The sequence below is a fragment of the Homo sapiens genome, chromosome 17, assembly GCF_000001405.40.
Source record: "Homo sapiens chromosome 17, GRCh38.p14 Primary Assembly".
NCBI lineage: Eukaryota > Metazoa > Chordata > Mammalia > Primates > Hominidae > Homo > Homo sapiens.
In genome coordinates, this window is record NC_000017.11 from 16,731,510 (window position 1) to 16,752,997 (window position 21,488).

Genomic DNA, 21,488 nt, shown 5'->3' on the forward strand with positions numbered 1-21,488 from the left:
GTAACTTTACTGAAAAATTTCAAATATGCTTTTCCATAATATTTACCAGGGTTACTAGTAACAGAAACTTACCAGTTAATGGAATATTTCTTTCCTCACTACCTCTCAAATATATATGTCCCTTGGAAGAGATCGAAGTGAGAAATTAAAAACATGAGAACTAGAAAGGAAACAAGAGCATAGGAGTTTTTATGAGGATAATAAACCCACATGGGAAGAGCCAGATCACAGAATAAACTTTTTTATTTTTTAACAAAACACATTTTAATGTAATCCATGTTTAACTGCAGACTTGCCTTAAAACAAGAAAATGAGGAGAAAAGAAATGCCGATATGTTGTATAATAAAGATAGTGAACAGTTAAGAATAAAAGAAGAGGAGTGTGGGAAAGTGGTTGAAACAAAGCAACAACTTAAATGGAATCTGAGAAGACTTGTTAAGGAATTGAGGACAGTAAGAAATAACTTGGATCTGGTAAATTAATCTTTGGTGTAAACTTCATTTTTCTAACTTTATGTTTCATCGGTATTACTTATAATTTTTTGCCTTCATGTATATCATTTAGGTTTAAAATAAACCAAAACTGTTATTTCCTCTTAAGAATGAACTATGACATTTATAGATAAAATTATTTACTGTAAACCTTGTCATCTAATAGATGCTCAGTCTGTGTTTTTAGAGTGGAGGATAAGTTGAGTTTAATCACTAATATAGCTGTTCATTTACACATTTTTTATGTTAAAATACAGGCTAAATAGCTTTGAAACTATAAGGACACTAGTTAAATGTTTTGAAAGAAATTTTATTTCACAATGCTGTATCTTCTCGTAGTTAAGAACTGTTTTTCCTCTTTGACAGATTTAGCTGTCATGTATGCAATTAAGATTTGAGTGATTCTTGAGGGATAAAAGTTCTTGTGTTTTAACAGGCTACTTCTTTTTAACCGTTTTATAAGAGAGGCTCTGCTCTTAACCTTTTAGATTTTCTTTTTCAGTGCTATTAGACCAAAACCTCCATGTTATCTCTAGGTTGTGCAGGAGAGAAACGATGCCCAGAAGCAACTTTCTGAAGAACAGGATGCCAGAATATTACAAGATCAGATTCTGACGAGTAAACAAAAGGAACTAGAAATGGCTCGAAAGAAAATGAATTCTGAGGTATTTTCTTTAGTCATTTTCAAATATATTTTTGTATGTGAATATATTTTTAAAAAACAACTCTGTGCAACTTGGAAAGTACAATGGATTTTTGAACTACACACACACACACACACACACACACACACATTTGGGGGTGGTGATGGTGGTTCTGGCATTTTTGGCTCATTGAATAAAGTCATGTTCTTAATTCAACTCCATTTGTTTGCAAGAGTCAAGTAGTGACATTCACAGTGGCCTTATCCAAAGGAGAAACATTTGTTATTTTTCATAGAATTAATGATCTTTCCACAATCTCAAAATCCTTGCTACTAACAACAGACGTTCTAGTTTTCAGACATTATTTCATCTTCCTAATATATTAATGGAGAGGTTAGATTATTATTTCCACTTGTAGTAAGGATGAAATGTATAGCCAGTTCAGAGGCCGTACTTCAGATGCCGTTTCCCTTACTTTTGAGGAGAGTAACAGTTTGCTCCAAGTAGCGTCTCATTTCAGTGCAAAGAGCTTTGAAAACAATGATATGCCATAATATAAACTTGGTGATAATTTATTGGTAAGTGTTTTTTCTTAGAAAAATAGTTCAGTGTGTGGGAGACTGAGGCGGGTGGATCACGAGGTCAGGAGATCAAGACCATCCTGGCTAACGCGGTGAAACCCCATCTCTACTAAAAATACAAAAAAAATTAGCCAGGCGTGGTGGCGGGAACCTGTAGTCCCAGCTACTCGGGAGGCTGAGGCAGGAGAATGGCGTGAACCCTGGGTGGCGGAGCTTGCAGTCAGCCAAAATTGGGCCACTGCCCTCCAGCCTGGGTAACAGTGCGAGACTCCGTCTCAAAAAAAAAAAAAAAAGAAAAGAAAAATAGTTCAGTGTATTTCACCCTGTTTCATGCTTATTTCTGTTTCAGACATTATAAAGAGGAAACTTAAGTTATTGTAATAACAGATAATCTCATGATTTTCTAAGAAAAGCTCTGTAACTTCTTTTTTTACCACTGGTGTTTTGAAATAAGCCTCTTTTATATTTATATATACACAACACAGAAGTAATTGTGGTTTGGTGGAAGAGCACTAGAAGTAAAGTAAGGGGACCTAGGGAAAATCCTGCAACTTGCATATTTTTTGACCTCTCCTTTCAGAATTGTGTATAAATGAGTTCAGTGATACATGTACAAGTGCTTGGTACAAGGCCAGGTGCAGTGGCTCACGCCTGTAATCCCAACACTTTGGGAGGCCGAGGTGGGTGGATCACTTGAGCCCAGGAGTTCCAGACCAGCCTGGGCAGCATGGCGAAACCCCATCTCTACAAAAAGTACAAATACATTTAGCTGCGTGTGGGGGTGTGTGCCTCTAGTTCAGCTACCCAGGAGGCTGAAGTGGGAGGATCACCTGAGCCCGGGAGGCCAAGGCTACAGTGAGTCTTGATTGCGTCACTGCCCTCTAACCTGAGTGATGGAGTGGAGACCCTATCTCGAAAAAAAAAAAAAAAAAGCCTAATATAATGCTTAGATTTAGCATTTATGAATAAATGTAATTCTTATATAACTGATGAGAAAAATGTTAGAAAAATAAATAGCTATAGAATATTCTCAGGAAAAAAAGAACTTAAAGAACGTTGGAACATTTCCTCTGTCCAGATATATGCAAAGCTACAGCTTTTACTATAGGGTGGTGTATAGGTTAGATGTCAGAGTGTAAAGCCAATTTTTTAATGTAGTCAAATTTATTAATCTTTAATGCCTTTGAGTTTGTTGTAATTTGGAGACCGTCTTTTCCAATTCTGAGATGCTTAAAAATTCTCTAGTTATTTATGTTCTACATTCATGGATTCATTGTCTTCAAATAAACTTATGAAGTTTTGGGAATTTATGCTCTATGAGGTTTGAAGTTTCGATAGAATATTTTTTTCCAGTTGGATATCCACTTATGGCAATCTTTTCATTGTATACATTATTTAATTTCAGAGAAAATCATAATCTGTCATTTTATTGAGTGCTACTGAATGTTTCCTTTCTTACTTAGATTTCTCATAGGCATCAGAAAGAAAAGGATCTCTTTCATGAAGATTGCATGTTGCAGGAAGAAATTGCCTTGCTGAGACTGGAAATAGATACAATAAAAAATCAGAACAAGCAAAAGGAAAAGAAATATTTTGAGGACATTGAGGCTGTGAAAGAAAAGAATGATAACCTTCAAAAAATTATAAAACTAAATGAGGAAACATTAACAGAAACAATACTCCAGTACAGTGGACAGCTGAACAATCTGACAGCTGAGAACAAAATACTCAATTCTGAACTGGAGAATGGGAAACAGAACCAAGAAAGACTAGAAATAGAAATGGAATCATACCGTTGTAGACTAGCTGCTGCTGTACGTGACTGTGATCAAAGTCAGACAGCAAGAGACCTAAAACTTGATTTCCAGAGAACAAGACAAGAGTGGGTTCGTTTACATGACAAAATGAAGGTTGATATGTCTGGCCTACAAGCTAAGAATGAGATTCTTTCTGAAAAACTTTCTAATGCTGAAAGTAAAATTAACAGCCTACAAATTCAGCTCCATAACACAAGAGATGCTCTTGGAAGAGAGAGTTTGATTTTGGAACGTGTGCAAAGAGACCTCAGCCAAACACAGTGTCAGAAGAAAGAAACTGAACAAATGTACCAAATTGAACAAAGCAAACTGAAGAAATACATTGCCAAGCAGGAATCTGTAGAGGAGAGATTATCTCAACTACAAAGTGAAAATATGTTGCTTCGACAGCAACTGGATGATGCTCACAAGAAAGCTAACAGTCAAGAAAAGACAAGCAGTACTATCCAAGACCAGTTTCATTCTGCTGCCAAAAATCTTCAAGCTGAGAGTGAAAAGCAGATTCTTTCACTACAAGAGAAGAACAAGGAGCTGATGGATGAATATAATCATTTAAAAGAAAGAATGGATCAATGTGAGAAAGAGAAAGCAGGAAGAAAAGTAAGTATTAAGAAAGATAAAATATTTTTCAACCTTCCTGAAAGAAAATGTAAAGTAATATTTGGTTATGGCTAAATGTTGTATCTAGTTGAATATAAAATGTATAGATCATAAATGTACTTGCTGTATCAGCCTAGAAATGTACCAGTGAAAAAGAAGTTAAACCTGAAAGATGCTTTACTTTGCATAAAGAAATTGTGTCACCTATGAAATTTCAAGTTCAGTTACAGTGTTAATAGGTACAGACTAATACTCATGATGTAGTCTTATGCTGCTGAAATGATCATTGCAATGCCTTTATGTGGCCATGTTTTAATACCATGATGAAGCAGATAAACAGAAATGCTCATACCTGACATGAGTATTTTGAAATTAAGATTCAGTGGGGAGGGTTGCTTTGACCGTTAATTCCAGATTTCCCAGGTGAACTGAAGTATACTGCTGTATCTCATAATACTTTTCCTTCAGTAATTTTGTAATGTATTTAAGTTGGTATAATTTTATTTTTATTCATATCAATTTGACTTAAATCTGAGACGATTTCAGTCTCAAATTACTTGTTATGACCTCTCAATTCTTTAAAGGCATTTACTTTTTTTTTTTTTTTTTTTTTGAGATGGAATTTTGCTCTGTAAGTTTTGTATTTTTAGTAGAGACGGAGTTTTGCCATGTTGGCAAGGCTGGTCTCGAACTCCTGACCTCAGGTGATCCGCCCGCCTTGGCCTCCCAAAGTGCTGGGATTAGAGGCATGAGCCACTGTGCCCAGCCTAAAGGCATTTACTTTTTATTAAATCATAATTTGGGACAGATGTGAATTTCAGCAAAGCCATGTTACATTTAATCTTACCACTGGTGTTTATAATTTACTTTGAATGTTTTTACAAAGAATTTGCTCATAATTTTCATTTCAAGGCTCACTGCCTATCATTCGGATATAACTTTGATAGTACAAAGGTAACTGTGGCTATCTGTGATTTATTTGTTTGGCACTGAGTCCCATTTTCAAACTAATCAGAAGTGGCAGGATTCACATATAGCAGGAATGGACTGAATCGGTGAGACAGTTGTAGGAGCTGAGATCAGGAGGGAGGTAGAGGCCAGGTTACCTAGGGCCTCAAAGGCCATTGGAATTTTACTTGTATTGTGAGATAGGAATCTTTTAGAAGGATCTGAGCAGGCAATTGAATATGCAAGGAACTCTGAGGTTGATTTGAGCTTCTAATAAAAAACAGGGAAAACATTTTACCAGTGTGGGATGTACCACCAGCAGCCCCACCCACGTACCAAATTCTTTTTGAGACTTCAGTAGGTTGTTAAGCACTGCAGATGTTTCAGGGAAGAGTGAGTAGTGGGCTGAATCTATTGCCTAAGTTAACAGAAAACCGATTTGGCAGGAAGATAACACCTTCTTTGTCCTTAACTAAATTCAGTAATAAACAAGAATGTGTGCACATGAGGAAAAGAAGGCGAATCATATATGTGTTGATGTTTTTCAAAGTATATGAGTTAGAGTTAAATCTTTTTTTTTTTTTTTTTTTTTTGAGACGGAGTCTCGCTCTGTCGCCCAGGCTGGAGTGCAGTGGCGGGATCTCGGCTCACTGCAAGCTCCGCCTCCCGGGTTCACGCCATTCTCCTGCCTCAGCCTCCCAAGTAGCTGGGACTACAGGCGCCCGCCACTACGCCCGGCTAATTTTTTGTATTTTTAGTAGAGACGGGGTTTCACCGTTTTAGCCGGGATGGTCTCGATCTCCTGACCTCGTGATCCGCCCGCCTCGGCCTCCCAAAGTGCTGGGATTACAGGCGTGAGCCACCGCGCCCGGCCAGAGTTAAATCTTACTACCATAATTTAATAATAAGGTGATTTATAAATCAGTAACAAAAAATACCTTCACAGGTAGTTATGAGAGAATTCCAACAAGAATGGACCGATCTCCTAAAACAACAACCTACGTCAGAGGCTACCTCACGTTGTCACATTAATTTAGATGAGACACAGGATTCAAAGAAGAAATTGGGTCAAATCAGAAGTGAAGTATGTATGAAACATAACATGTCAACAGTTAATCTATAGGTGGTGAAATAATGTCAGATGTTTTAGGATACTGATTGCAGTGGATAGCTTTCTTTTGTATTTTTATTATAATTCATTTTATTACAATTTAATTATCTTTATAATACACTTGTTTCTTAACCTCTGGCTTTCATTCTGTCTTTTTCTCCTCATAAGTACATACATTTTAAAAATAAGGATCATTTCCAAAGATCCTTAGGAAAATTGGGAATTATTCAGTATTCCTCACAGAAGTTGAGAGGCTTTTTTTTTCCTGTGAAGTAGTATTTTTTTAGTGATTTCTCTATTGCCATGGTGAGGCAAGCCAGATTAAATTATAGGATAATGTTTAATAGAATGTTCCAGAAAATTGTCTTATTTCTTATCTTTTGTGAATGGGTACAGAATCTGTGTATATTTATTTCATGAATTTCAGGATAACTGGTACAGAAAGGCCATAGTACTGTTCTCCAAAATGCAAATGTTTTAATTTACAAACTACTTGAAATGTTAGGTACTTCCTTTATTTTCCTTTCATTTTAAATATATTGTGCTTTTTTACAAATCATGTATAGTATGTACATCCAAAGTAGAGAATTAAGAGATATATCTAGATTCTACCACTGAATTTTTAAAAACAAGTTTACTGAGAGAGAATTCTCATACCATACAGTTTACCCATTGAACGTGTACAATTCATGGTCTCTTAATATATTCACAGAGTTGCATAACCATCACCATCATCAATTGTAGGACATTTTCATGACCCTGAAAAGAATCAGCAATCTATTTTGTTTCCATAGATTAGCCCATTCTGGACACCACGTATCAATTGGATCACACAATGTGTGGTGGTCTTTTGTGACTGGCTTCTTCTACTTAGCATAACATTTTTAAGGTTCATTGTGTTGTAACATGTATCAATATTTAATTTCATCTTATTGCTGAGTAATTTTCCACTGTATGGACATACCACTAATTTATTTAGCCATTCATCCGTTGATGGACCTTTGGGTTGTTTCCATGTTTTGGCTATTATTAATCATGCTGCTGTGAACTTTTATTTACAAGTTTTTGTGTTTGTATATGTATTCCTTTCTCTTGGGTATATACATATGAGTTGAATTTCTGGGTCATATGGTAACACTATGCTCAACCTTTTGAGGAGCTGCCAGTCTGCTTTCCAAAGTGGTTGCACCATTTTACGTTCCCATCAGCATTGTATGAGGGTTCTAATTTCTCCACATCCTTGCCAACATTTTTCATATTTTTGATTGAAAAAGAATTCCAACCTAGAGGTATGAAGTGGTACCTCATTGTGGTTTTGATTCACATTTCCCTAATGATGAATGACTTTAAGCCTCTTTTTATGTGCTTATGAGCCACTTGTATATCTTCTTTGGAGAAATATCTGTTCAAATCTTTTGCCCACATTAAAATTGGGTTGTCCTAAATTTCTGAATTTTAAGAGTTCTTTATATACCCTAGGTGTAAGTCCCTTATCAGATATGTTTCCAAATATTTTCAATGGCTTTCCTTTTTATTTTCTTTTTTATGATTTATTATGTTTTTAAAATTTATATAATTTTAAATTGTAGAGAGAAGGTCTCACTATGTTGTCCAGGCTGGTTTTGAACTCCTGAGCTCAAGCAATCCTCCCACCTCGGCCTCCCAAGTGTTGGGATTATAGGTGTAAGCCACCATGCCCAGCCTCCTTTTCACTTTCTTGATGGTCTCTGTTCAAGCACAGAAGTTTCACATTTTGATGAAGTCCAGTTAATTTTTTTGTTTGTTTGTTTTGCAGTCACAAAGATTTATGGCTATGTTTTCTTCTAGGAATTTTATAGTTTTAGTTCTTACATTTAGTGGTTCTATTTTGTTACTTTTAGGTATGACATTTGGTGAAGTCCACCTTTATTCTTTTGCATGTGGATATACCGTTTTCCCAGAACCATTTGTTGAAAAATCTATTCATTTCTCATTTAATTTTTTTTACACCCTTGTTGAAAATCAGTTGACCATAAAAATGTGTGTTTGTTTTTGGATTCTCAGTTATAATATATTGAGCTATGTCTATCCTTATGCCAGTAGCAAATCACATTTTAGGAAAATTCATTTTCAGTCCTGTTGCTTATTACCAGTTGTCTTATGTAAGAATAGAAATTCAAGTAGTAGAATGTCTTTAATTTCACTTTTTGCTTCTTGAAGGAGTGTATGGCCAGCTTATGCCTTGCTGACTCCATGACATGATGAGAGTCAGGCTTACGAAGACAGATCCCATTAATTTTTTTTCTCCAGTCATACCTTTTGTCTCTCACCCAGTGCCTCTCTCTTCATTCCCATTTCCATCAAATCTTGGTCACAGGATATGCTGACTCCTTCTACTATTTACTGCATTATGTTTTTATTAACTCATTGTAAGTCATAGAGTCATGTGTAGATTTTAACTATCTATGAAGGGCAAGATTAAGTCTAGGCTGTCATCTTTCCTCATTGGAAATTGAGCTAATTCATCATGTTGCAGTTTACAGTTAGATACTCTTTTGACCCAGCACCTGGTTCTCTTGTACACTCCCGGAGCTGAATCCTCTTCTTGGCACAGATACTACATTCTCAGAAACCAGAGTTCCCTGCATTTACCTCCTTTTGCTTAAATAGAGATGCATAGCTATGCTTTTATAGTTCAATACATAATTCATTGAATAAATACTTCAACCCATTCAAAGAACAACTTCCAGGAGTACAGCAACTGGAAATCAGGTCATGTCCAGGCATTTATCAGAAACAAATGGTTGAATTAGTTGTATGAATTTCAAAATTTCAGAGCCAATTTTTATGATATGGAGAAGCATTTTGATACAACATAAAGATGAGATGCTCTTCTCTTCTCCATACAAATGAGCTTGAAGTAAGGTAAAGGGGAAATTGCATTTAATAGCTTAACACTCAAAGGACACTACATTTTTACTTCTGAGATTGTTAAAACTGATTCCATAATATTTTGTTAATTTTCTCACTGAGGAAATGGAAATGAAGATTGAATCCTAGATTGATTAATAAATATCCAAAGCTGCTTATTACTTTTAGAATTTCAGTTCATTGAAATCAGGTACAATGTCTGATTTTTGGTTATTAATCAAATATTTCTGGTTTTTTCAACTTTATACTTCAAATTATATATCTCCTTCCTTCTTCATCTTCCTTATTTCATAACTCGGGGGACAAATTCTAAAAGCCTCACTGGCTTAGTCATCAGAATTTGTAATCGAAAGGAACTTTTTCTAAACTTCCTCTGCAGTAGTTCTTACATCCTTCTCCTGGTTGTCTGCTGCTTCCCATTAGAGTTGTTTGTCATTAATAAATTAACCTCAACATTTTTTAGATCTTACTTTAAAGGAGACTAATTTCTACTGGGTATGTTATTCTATTTCTTGTTGTCTCCTTGTTTAAATTTATTTTTCTGGTTATTTTTTCCTAACAAATTACCCAAAGTTGAGTGGCTAAGAACAACATTCGTTAAGTTCACCAATCTGTGGCTTGGGAAAACCTTGGCTGGGACAGCTTGCCTCTGCTCCCTTCAGCTTCACTTGGGATAAATCAAAGGCTGAGGGACTGGAATCATCTGAAGGTTTGTTCACTAAGATGTCTGTTGCTGATGGTGGCTATTGGTTGGAACTTTAGCTGGGGCAGGTTGCCCAAATATCTACATTGGAACTCCTAGGCTCTCTTTGTGGCCTAAGCTTCCTCACAGCATGGGGGCTGGGGTCCAAGGGTGAGCAGTCTGCGGTAGAGAGCCTCTTCTAACTTAATGTTGGAAGCCACATGGTTATCACTTTTAACACTTTCTGTTCATTAGAAGCAAGTCACTAAGTTTCACCCATAGTCTGTATATAGGATGAATGATTTTGCTTTTATTTTTATTGATGTATTTTTTTTTAGACATGGTGTCTTATTATGTTACCCAGGCCGGCCTTGACCTCCATGGCTCAAGAATTCTTCCTGCCTCTGCCTCCCAAGTAGCTGAGACCACAGGAATGTGACACCACACCTGGCTTCTTTAGATTTTTTGTGGACCTGTATAATTGAACATATTTATGGTATACACAGTGATATTTTGATATGTGTAAACAATGCATAATGGTCAAATCAGGCTAATTAATATATTCCATCACCTCAAACATTTACCATTTCTTTGTGTTGTGAACTTTCAAAATCCTCCCCTCTAGCTTTTTAAATATTAGCTAGCCAAGCCAGGTGTAGTGGCACACACCTGTAATCCCAGCTGTTTGGGAGGCTGAGGCAGGAGAATGACTTGAACCCCGGAGGCGGAGATTGCAGTGAGCTGAGATTGCACCACTGCACGCCAAGCCTGGGTGACAGAGCAAGACTCTGTCTCAAAAAAAAAAAAAAAATTAGTTAACCATATTCACCCTACAATGCAACAGAACACTAGAATTCATTCCTCCTATGTAACTGTAATCTTGTATCCATTAACCAGCCTCTCCCCATCTTCTACTCCCCTTTACCTTTCTCAGCCTCTAATACCCACAGTTCTACTCTCTACTTCCGTGAACTTTTTTTTAAATTTTAGCTCCCACATGAGTGAAAACATACAGTAGTTATTTTTCTGTGCTTGAATTATTTCACTTAGTGTCACTTAATGTCCTCATCATGCTGTAAATGACATGATTTTATTCTTTTTTTATGGCTGAATAGTATTCCACTGTGGACATATACCACATTTTCTTTACTCATCAACCACATTGATCTGTTGATGAACATTTAGGTTGATTCTGTATCTTGGTTGTTGTGAATAGTGCTGCAATCAACATGGGAATACTGGTATCCCTTTGATATGCTGATTTTCTTTCTTTTGGATAAATAGTAGTGGGATTGTTGGATCATATGACACTTCTATTTTTAGCTTTTTAAGAAACTTCCATGGTTATACTAGTTTACATTCCCTCCACGAGTGCATAAGAGTTTTCTTTTTCTCTCCAACCTCGCCAGGATTTTTTACTTCTGGTTTCTTTGTTTTTTGTTTTTTGATTTTTTTTGATAGTAGCCATTCTGTGGTGAGACGATATCTTATTTGGGATTTTGTTTTCATTTTCCTGTTAGTGATGTTGAGTACTTTTCCATACATTTGTGGACATTCGTATGTCTTCTTTTTAGAAATGTCTATTTAAATTCTTTGTCCACATTTCAGGGGGGATTATTAACAATTTTTACTGTTGAGTTGTTTGAGTTCCTGGCATATTCTAGATATTAGACCTTTCTCAGATGAATAGATTTGTAAATATTTTCTCCCAGTCTACAATTGTTGGTTGTTTCCTTCACTTTGTTGATTGTTTCCTTTGCTGTGAAGAAACCTAATTTTAATATAGCTTTACTTGTGTATTTTTGTTTTTATACCTGTGCTTTTTTTTGCATATGCCCGTGATAACTTAGCTATAAAATCTTTGCCTTGACCAATGTCCTGAAGCATTTTCCATATATTTTCTTGTTAGTAGTTTTATAATTTTGGATCTCATGTTTAAGTCTTTAATCTATTTTGAGTTGATTTTTGTATATGGTGAAAGATAGGGACCTGGTTTCATTCTTCTTTTTACAGATACCCACTTTTCCCAGCCCCATTTGTTGAAGAGAGGGTTCTTTCCCCAATGTATGTTTTTGATACTTTTGTTGAAAATCAGGTGTCTGTAAATATGTGGATTTATTTCTGTGTTCTCTATTCTGTTCCATTGGTTTAATTTTCTATTTTTATACCAAGACCTTGCTCTTTTGGTTACTGTAACCTTGTAATATATTTTGAAGTCAGGTGGAGTGATGCCTCCAGCTCTGTTCTTTTCCCTCAGGCTTGGCTTGTATAGTCTAGCTTTTTTGCAGTTCCATATGAATTTTAGGATTGTTTTTTCCATTTCTGTGAAGAATGTTATTGGTGTTTTTTTGTTGCAAGTTATAAAGGGCATTTTATTTTTATCTTATTCTTTCTCTTTCTTAACTTTCAGATTCAGGGAGTACATGTGCAGGTTTGTTACACAGGTATATTGCATAATGCTTAGGTTTAGGGTGCAGTTGAACCTATCACCCAGGTAATGAGCATAGTACCTGGCATGTCATTTTTCAACCATTGTCCAACCCAGTCCCCCTTCTTATAGTCCCCACTGTCTATTGCTCCCATCTTTATGTCCATGTGTACCCAATGTTTAGCTCCCACTTATAAGTGAGAACATGTAGTATTTGGTTTTCTGTTTCTGCATCAGTTTGCTTAGGATAATGGCCTCCAGCTGCATCCATGTTGCTGCAAAGGGCAGTATTTTGTTCTTTTTATAGTTGCATAGTATTCCATATTGTATATGTGCTACATTTTCTTAATCCAGTGCATCATTGATGAGCTTCTGGTTTTATTCCATATCTTTGCTGTTGTGAATAGTGCTGCAGTGAACATTGGGTGCATGTGTCTTTTTGGTAGAATGATTTTTTGGTGGTGAGAAGTGGATATTTAACCAACTAATGGGATTGCTGGGTTGAATGGCAGTTCTACTTTTAGTTCCGTGAGAGAAACCTCCAAACTGCTTTCCACAGTGGCTGAACGAATTTACCATTTTCTCCAATAGTGTATTAGAATTCCCTTTTCACTGTAGCAGCTCTGCCAAAATCTGGGTTGTTGTTGCTTATTTTTTGACTTTCTAGTAATAGCCATTATGTCTGGTGTGAGATGGTATGTCATTGTGGCTTTGATTTGCTTTTCTCTGATGATCAGTGATGATGAGCATTTTTTCATATGTTTGCTCTCCACTTTTATGTCTTTTTTGGAGAAGTGTCTGTTAATGTATTTTGCCCGCTTTTATATATTTTTTTAAATTCTTGTTTGTTGATTTAAGTTCCTTATAGGTTCTGGATATTAGAACTTTGTTCAATGCATAGCTTGTAAATACATTCTTTCATTGTTTAGGTTGCCTATTTAGTCTCTTGAATGGTTCCTTTTCCTATGCAGAAGCTCCTTTGTTTAACTAGGTCCCAATTTTTCTTTCTTTTTTTTTTTCTTTAACAAAATTTTTACTTAATAAATGGTTAAAATCGCAGTGCCAAAAATACATTCACATTTAGCAATTTCACTGAAAGGAAGAAACTACAGAATGCACGGTTTCAGAAAGCTATTTTAAGTTATTTACAAATAAAGTATCTAAAACTCAAAAACAGGCTGTGTGTGCTATATCTCGTTTATCCCTTCCCGAACAAAATTTCTGTTATTTGGGCAAATTCTTAAATCATGATTTAAACCGTAATGGTTACAAACCACAAACACATCCATCCAAAGACTGAAACCATTTTTATCTGGTCAGTGGCAAAACTGTTGAAAGGGCAATAGTTGAAGCTGTTGGGTTTTATATAGTGTGAACTCTGATAAATATTCCTACCAGGACTAAAACACAGCACACTTTGCAGGCATGGCTGACTCACAAAGGTTGTAACAAACAAGAACTACTCTTCACTCGACACCATGGCTCAGAGGCCACCGAGAAGCACGAGTGACTGACAGCTCCTCTGCTTACAAACGAATGAAACCCAAAGTGGATGTCGTTCTCACAGCACTGAAAGTGCTTCAGGACTCACACTGATCCAATACTAACTTTCTTCCCTATTTTACACATATTTTTCTACTGTCCAGTGGAAATCATTTTCTGTTTTGGCTAAACAACAAATACTAGTTTATAACAGGAATGGTAAAATCTGTGAGAATTCTGCTCAATTTAATACAAGATCACTACTTTCTTTAGAATGGTTTCTGCGTGTTTCTATGTCACCCTCTGTATTTTTAGCTTCCAGTTTCCTGGTAAGGAATAAGTTCTCCTTCCCAGTCACACTCGGGGTCATTTACACGTTTCTGGGATGCCCTCGCTCGTCCATGGAGGCCAGGTGCGTGCAGTGACTCACTCTGCCTCTTCCCTCTTCTCAGGACCAGTCCCCGAACCTTCTGCCTTGCAGATCCTCCTGTTTCCGCCACACTCTCGCGCTCGGAAGTGAGCTCCTGGATCATACAGCTGCAAGGCTGGCCGGTCCTTGTTTGCCAGTCGCTCTTTTCTGGGTGCTGGACTGTCGTCACACCTCTGCGCTCTTCCCAGTCTCTCCATGGCCTCCCCCGGAGCCCCGCTGTCCTGGCTCCCCTTCTTCCCTCTGTCTTGGCCAGGTCCTTTCCCCCATCTCTGCTCATCCTCACTCCTTCTGGAAAGCCGGTCAGGCTCGTGGTGAGCTCTGTGCCTCCTGCCGTCATCCACATGGTGTCTTTGTGATTCAGATTCTTGTTCTTGAGATCTCTCCACATCCCTGTGCTCTTTATCACTGCCGCTGTGTGACGTCTCCTGGGGCTCCTTCAGCGAGCCTTCCACGGGCCTGGCTTTTACGACTGCACCGGGAGCACAGGATTCCTGCTTGCCACCTCCAGTATCAATCTCCTCTCCTCTTTCTTTTGGTTTCTCTGTGGTTGGTTCCTCTCCCTTTTCTGGTTTCTTAAGAAGCTTAATCCTTACTTCTTTCTCTGCAATTTTCTTCTGTTTATCTGTCTCTCTCTCTCTTTTTTTTTTTTTTTGCATCTTTCTTCTTTTCTTCTTTTTTCCTCTTCCCGCAAACGTTTATTTTCTAACTCTCTCCTCCGTTCTTCTCGCTTCTCTTCTCGAATTCTCTGCTTTTCTAATTTTCTATTTTTAATATATTCCAAAAGAGGTGTGGTTCTTCTAGCAATGAGCTCTCTTGTCTTCGCCTCCATCTCCCCCAGCAGAGTCTCAGGGTTGGCACTGGTCTTCTCTTCCTCCACACAGTAGGTTTCTAAAAACTTCTTATATTCTGGATCTTTGCTGTCAAGGAAGATATATCCATCAAAACGATCTCTAAAAAGAAGGATGTCATCAGGATTCCTAAAATTAATGTATGCTCTTGAGTAGAGATGAGGATAAAGACTCAGGTCGGCGGCGAAGAACTCGAAGTAGTCGTGTGCTGGCAGCGGGCGCAGCTGCTCCTCCAGCTGCTCCTTGGTGAGGCCCGGAGGCAGGCGGCAGATGACCACCTGCGGGGAGCGCGCGGCCGTTCCCACCGGGGCGGAGCGTGGACAAGGAGCTCAAAAGGCACCGCGTACCGCGCTGGGAGGCCCGGCCCCCGCCCCTCCCTCCTCTCCCTTCTCTCCCTTCTCTCCCTCCCCTCCCTCCCCTCCCTCCCCTCTAGGTCCCAATTTTTCATTTTGACTTTTGTTGCAATTGCTTTTGAGGGCTTATTCATAAATTATTTTCAGAGGCTGATTTCTAATAGTGTATTTCTTAGGTTTTCTTGTAGGATTTTTATAGTTAGAGGTCTTATTTTAAGAATGTAATTCAGCTTTCATTAATTTTTGTATGTGGTGATAGCTAGGGGTCAAGTTTCATTCTTCTGTGTATGGATAATCAGTCATCCCAGCACCATTTATTGAATAGGGAGTCCTTTCCCCATTGCATATTTGTGTCGGCTTTGTCAAAGACCCAATGGTTGTAGGCATGTGGCTTTATTTCTGGGCTCTCTGTTCTGTTCCATTGGTCTATGTGTCTGTTTTTGTGCCAGTACCGTGCTGATTTGTTTAGTGTAGCGTTTGTTTACTGTAGTATAGTTTGAAGTTGGGTAATGTGATGCATCAGGCTTGGTTCTCTTTGCTTAGGATGGCTCTGGGTGTTTGGGCTCTTTTCTGGTTCCATATGAAATTTTAGAATAGTTTTTTCTAATGCTGTGAAAAATGACATTAGTAGTTTGATAGGAATGGTATTGAATCTGTAGATTGCTTTGGGCAGTATGGCCATTTTAATGCTATTGATTTTTCCAATTCATGAGCATGGAATGTTTTGCCATTTTTTTGGTGTCATCTATTTGGTGTCATGATTTTTTTCAGCAGTGTTTTGTAGTTCTCCTTGTAACCACCTTTCATCTCTGTAGTTAGATGCATTCCTAAGTATTTTGCTTTTTTGTGTGTGGCTATTACAAATTGGATTACATTCTTGATTTGTCTCTCAGCTTGAACTTTATTGGTATGTAGAAATGCTATGGATATTTTTACATTGATTTTTGTGTCCTGACTGAAGTCATTTATCAGTTCCAGGATAAATTGGCAAACTCTAGAGTTTTTTAGGTACAGAATCATATCATCAGCAAAGAGAGATAGTTTGGCTTCTTTTCCTTTTTGGATGCCTTTTCTTTCTTTCTTTTTCCTGATTGCTCTGGCTAGGAGTTCCAGTACTATGTTGAATACATACGGTGAGAGTGGGCATCTTTGTCTTGTTCCAGTGGGCAAGGGGAATGCTTCCAACTGTTTTTGTTCTTTTTTCTTTAATTTTTTTCTTTACTATTTTATAGAGACAAGGTCTCACTGTGTTGCCCAGCCTGGTCTCAGACTCCTGGCCTCAAGTGATTCTCCTGTCTTCGCCTCCCAACATGCTGGGGTTACAAGCATGAGCCAGTGCACTTAGCCCCCACTTCCAGCTTTTGCCCATTCTGTATGGTTTTAGCTGTGGGTTTGTTATAGAGTGGCCTTTATTATTTTGAGGTCTGTTTCTTTGATGCCTAATTTGTTGGGTGTTTTTTTCATGAAGGGATGATGGACGTTATTGAAAGCTTTTTTGCATCTTTTGAGTTGATCATATGGTTTTTAGTTTTCATTCTGTTTATGTGGTGAAACACATTTATTGATTTGTGTACTTTGAACCAATTGCATCACAAAAATAAAGCTGACTTGATTGTGGTGAAGTAAGTTTTTGATGTGTTGCTGGATTTTGTTTGCTGATATTTTATTGAAGACTTTGGTGTCTACATTCATTGGGGATATTGGGCTGTAGTTTTCTTTATTCATTGTGTCTTTGCTGGCTTTTAGTATCAAGATGATGCTGGCATCATACAATGAGTTAGGGAGAAGTATCTCCTCAATATTTTGGAATAGTTTCATTAGGTTTGTTAACAGCTTTTCTTTGTATGTCTGGTAGAAATTGGCTATGAGTCAGTCTGATCTGAATCTGTTTTTGGCTAGTAGGTTTTTTATTACTGATTCAATTTCAGAGCTTGTTATTTGTCTGTTCATGATTTCAATTTCCTCGTGGTTCAATCTTTGTTGGTTTCCAAGGATTTATCCATTTCTCCTAGATATTCTAGTTTGTGTGTATACAGTGGTGTTCATTGTAGTCTCTGAGGATCTTTTGTATTACTGTGGGATTGGTTGTAATGTCGTCTTTGTTGTTTCTGATTGTGCTTATTTAGATGTTCTCTGTTATTTATTTATTTATTTATTTATTTATCTAGCTAGTAGCCTGTCAGTATTTTTATCCCTTCAAAAAGCCAACTTTTGGTTTCACTGATCCTTTGTATGGATTTTTGGGCCTCAAGTTTTCTCAGTTATGCTCTAATTTTATTTATTTCTTTTCTGTTGCCAGCTTTGGGGTTATTTTGTTCTTGTTTTTTAGTTCCTCTCGGCGCAGTGTCAGATTGTTAATTACAGATCTGTCTAACTTTTCAACATATTTGTTTTGCACTATAAGCTTTCCTCTTATGCTGCTTTCGCTGTATCCCAGAAGTTTTGGTATGATGTTTCTTTTTGCTTATTACAAATCATTGTTTGATTTCTGCCTTAAATTCTTTCTTTTCCCAAAGTCATTTAGGAGCCAGTTGTTTGATTTCCATGTAATTGTGTGGTTTTCAGAGATCTTCTTGGTATTCATTTCTATTTTTATTGCACTGTGGTCCAAGAGAATGGTGTTGTGTGATTTCATTTTTTAAAAATTTATCATGACTTGCTTTATGGTCAAACATGTTGTTGATCTTGGAGTATGTTCTTTGTGCAGATGAGAAAAAAGTGTATTCTGTAGTTGTTTGGTGGAGTATTCTGTAGATGTCTGTTAGGTCCAATTAGTCAAGTGTTAAATTTAAGCCCAGAAGTTCTTTGTTAGTTTTTTGTCTCAATGATTTGCCTTAACACTATCAATGAGATGTTGAAGATCCCCACTGTTATTGTGTGACTGAGTCTTTTGGTAGGTCTGGAAGTACTTGGTTGTTTTTGAATGTGGGTGCTCCAGTGTTGGGTGGGTATGTATTTAGGATAGGGATGTCTTCTTGGCGAAGTGAATCCTTTATCATTGTGTAATGCCCTTCTTCATCCTTTTTTGGCTGTTGTTGGTTTAAAGTCTGTTTTATCTAAGAATAACAACCCCTTGCTTTTTGCATTTTATTTGCATGACAGATCTTCGTCCATCTCTTTACTCAGAGCCTGTGGGTGCCATTACATGTGAGATGTGTCTTTTGAATATAGCAGACTGTTGATTCTTATTGGTTTGTTTTATTTTAATTCAACTTGCCACTCTGTGCCTTTTAAGTGAGGCATTTAGACCATTGTATTCAGTATTAATATTTATATGTGAGATTTTGGTTCTGCCATGATGTTTTTAGCTGTTTGCTTTGTACTCTCGATTGTGTAGTTGTGTAATAGGGTCTGTGGGCTATGTACTTAGGTGTGTTTTTGTGGTAGTGGGTATTGTTCTTTCTTTTCCATATTTAGAACTCCTTAAGAATCTCTTGTAAGTCTGGTCTAGCGGTAATGAATTTCTTTAGTGTTTGTCTGGAAAAGATTGTATTTCTCTGTCACTGATGAGGCTTAGATTGGAGTGGTATGAAGTTCTTGGCTGAAATTTCTTTAAGGATGCTGACAACAGGCCCCACTTTCTGGCTTATAAGGTTTTTGCCAGAAAGAGGTCAGCTTTTCACCTGATGCAGCTGTTATAGCTGCCTGTGAGATTTTTCCTTTCGTGTTGACCTTGGAAAGTCTGATGGGCTGTGTATCTTGGGGATGGTTGTAGAGGTTCTCTGAATTTCTTGAATTTTTCCATCGACCTCTGTAATGAGATTGGGGAAATTTCATGGACTATATCCTCAGACATGTTTTCCATGTTGCTTCCTCTCTCTCCTTCTCTTTCAGCCATGCCAATGAGTCATAGATTAGTGTCTTTACAAAATCCCACATTCCTCAGATGTTTTGTTCATTTTTAAAATGGTTTTTTCTTTATTTTTGTCTGACTGGGCTGACTCAAAAGACTGGTCTTTGAGCTCTGTAATCCTTCCCTCCGCTTGGTCTCATCTGGTTTTGAAGGTCCCTCCTGTGTTGAATTTTGCAGCTCCAGAAGTTCAGTTTGATTCTTTTTAAAAATGGCTCTGTCGTGTTTCAACTTTTGGATGGTTATACTGGCTTCCTTGGATTGGATTTCAACTTTCTCTTTAATCTCATTGAGCTTTGTTGCCACTGAGATTCTGAATCACATGTCTGTGATAAAGCAAGTCATTACACTTTAATCTGGTGAGAATTTATAGCTGGGGAGCTAGTGTGATTTTTTGGAGGTAATGAAATGCTCTGATTTGTTGAATTGCTAGAGTTCTTGTACTGATTATTCCTCCTCTGAAAATGCTGATGTTTCTTTATCGTTTTGAAATTCCTGTCATTTGGATGGGGATTTTTGTTTTTATGTTCTTTTTTTTCTCTTGAGGGTTTGTGGTGTGTATTGTGTATAGTTGATTGGCCTTTTTTTCTGGGTGGTTTCAGATGGCCAGGACTCTACACAGGTTCCTTCCTTGTGGCTACTTTCCTGCATTGGGTTTCACAGATGTGTGTTGAAGGTATATAATGATTTTTGTTTGGTGGTGTAATTCAGTCTGCAATCCAGGAGATGGTGCTCTAGAGTACGGGCTGGCATGCCTCTTTTCTATTTCAGCGTGTTGGCAGCAGTGCTCTGGGGAAGGGGGAAAAGTAGGATTGTGAAGGCGAGAGATAACCCCCTCACCAAATCAGTTCCTGGAACTTGGGAGAGCCCCCTCCAATCACTGGTGCCACACCTGAATTTTGAGGGCTGCACACCTCCCACCCTTAGGGCAGCGGCCCAAGCCAAAAGTTAGGTTGCCGAGAGACCTACAACTCTCTGGGGATGTGCTGGTTGTCTGGGCTTGGTAGAGTCAGAGCAGGTTGTAGAGTATGTCTGCGGATCTGCGGGTCGTCTGTTGATATAATGTGGGTCAAGGGGGGAGGATCCCCGGGCAGGGCTGTGGTTCTGTGGGTGTGCACCTGGTGTGGTGCCTGCAGCCCAGGGTTTTTTGCCCAGCAGATGGCTGTGGGGAGCACTTAGCTCGCACTCACCCAACCAGGCCTCCCTCCAGTGTCTGCCCCCAGGGCAGGCCCAACTAGGTAGTTTTGTCCCCCAGCCTTCTGTGCCCAGATCAACTGGACTGTTAGCTGTTTCAGGCAGTGGTGCTCCCTCAGGCAGAGGCTGTGGACAGACAGGTTACACCCTTCCTGGACAGATCTTGTAGAACAGGGTCCCCAACCTCCAGGTGGCAGACCAGTACTGGTCTGTGACCTGTTAGGAACTGGGCCGCACAGCAGGAGGTGAGGGGAGGGCTGGTGAGTGAGCATTACCACGTGAGCTTCGCCTCTTGTCACATCAGTAGCGGCATTAGATTCTCATAGGAGCGCGAGCCGTGTTGTGAACTGTGCACGTGAGGGATCTAGGTTGCGTGCTCCTTATGAGAATCTAATGCCTGACGATCTGAGGTGGAACAGTTCCATCGCGAAACCATCCCCACCCCACCGTCTGTGGAAAAATTGTTTTCCACAATGCCAGCACCTGGTGCCAGAAAGGTTGGGGACTGCTGTTGCAGAGGGAGCACACCCGGCTCCCACACTGACATATGAACTTGGGCCCTCTCTTCTCGGCATTGTGAGAGAGAAAGCTACTCCTCTTCTTGAGCTCAGGCCACAGACACCAGCTCAGTATACTTGAGCAGTGTGCTTGAATCCGGGGGGTATTGAGACCAGGTTCATGACTTTGTCTTCTGGTCTCATGGGGTTGAGCTTTGGCTGTGCTGAGGGTGGGGGCTGAACTGCTCCCAGGCCTCCGGCAAAGCACTCAGATGGGGCAGTGGAGGCTGTGCTGTGTGCTTACCCTTGCGTGAGTAGCTAGGCAGGGGCCTTGGGAGGGGCTGGTGGACAAGAAGGTACACAGACCAGATATGCTGCAGTCCCATGGTAAATGCAGCCCTACTGTCTTCTGGCCTGGCAGTAAGCAGGAGCTAGAGTCACTCAGAGCAAGATGGAGAGCCTTGGGGGATGGGTGCCTATGGTCATGTTTTGCTGCAGCCGTACCAGGTGCGAAACCTTCTGGGCTGTATGCGGGTTTGAGCTGTGCCTCTGCCTATTCGCCAGCCGGTTCCTCTTGCCAGTTCAGATGTCTGTGTGGGTCCAGGGATCTCTGGGAGCTAG

The 21,488-nt window shown here is 38.8% G+C and overlaps 1 protein-coding gene and 1 pseudogene across 6 annotated transcripts in view, besides 4 other annotated features; one reads left to right on the forward strand and one right to left on the reverse strand.

The window, feature by feature from the left end:
* The window catches only part of CCDC144A (coiled-coil domain containing 144A), a 111,165-nt gene that overhangs the window by 64,793 nt on the left and 24,884 nt on the right, over window positions 1–21,488 (forward strand). For 3 of the 6 annotated variants that reach the window (NM_014695.3, NM_001382000.1, XM_017025430.2), the window contains exons 10-12: window positions 291–474; window positions 1,029–1,157; window positions 3,181–4,134. The exons of 1 other annotated variant lie outside the window; for it this stretch is intronic. In NM_014695.3, the coding sequence (NP_055510.1) occupies window positions 291–474; window positions 1,029–1,157; window positions 3,181–4,134 (1,267 nt within the window). Of the gene's footprint in view, window positions 1–290; window positions 475–1,028; window positions 1,158–3,180; window positions 4,135–6,028; window positions 6,167–21,488 lie in introns of all 6 variants that reach the window. 2 more of the 6 variants (XM_017025429.3, NR_130142.2) reach the window with 2 other exon arrangements.
* UPF3AP1 (UPF3A pseudogene 1) lies at window positions 13,231–15,361 on the reverse strand (annotated as a pseudogene).
* Window positions 19,867–19,926: an enhancer, noted in NCBI's record as "active region_11770". NCBI's record gives its function as "activates an Ori minimal core promoter by ATAC-STARR-seq in GM12878 lymphoblastoid cells {active_cell/tissue: GM12878}" and the evidence as "EXISTENCE:reporter gene assay evidence [ECO:0000049][PMID:35858748]".
* Window positions 20,047–20,136: an enhancer, noted in NCBI's record as "active region_11771". NCBI's record gives its function as "activates an Ori minimal core promoter by ATAC-STARR-seq in GM12878 lymphoblastoid cells {active_cell/tissue: GM12878}" and the evidence as "EXISTENCE:reporter gene assay evidence [ECO:0000049][PMID:35858748]".
* Window positions 20,047–20,783: a biological region, named in NCBI's record as "H3K4me1 hESC enhancer GRCh37_chr17:16654874-16655606".
* Window positions 20,051–20,783: an enhancer, noted in NCBI's record as "H3K4me1 hESC enhancer chr17:16654874-16655606 (GRCh37/hg19 assembly coordinates)". NCBI's record gives its function as "activates a minimal SCP1, AML or CMV promoter by ChIP-STARR-seq in naive H9 embryonic stem cells {active_cell/tissue: H9 hESC(naive)}" and the evidence as "EXISTENCE:reporter gene assay evidence [ECO:0000049][PMID:30033119]".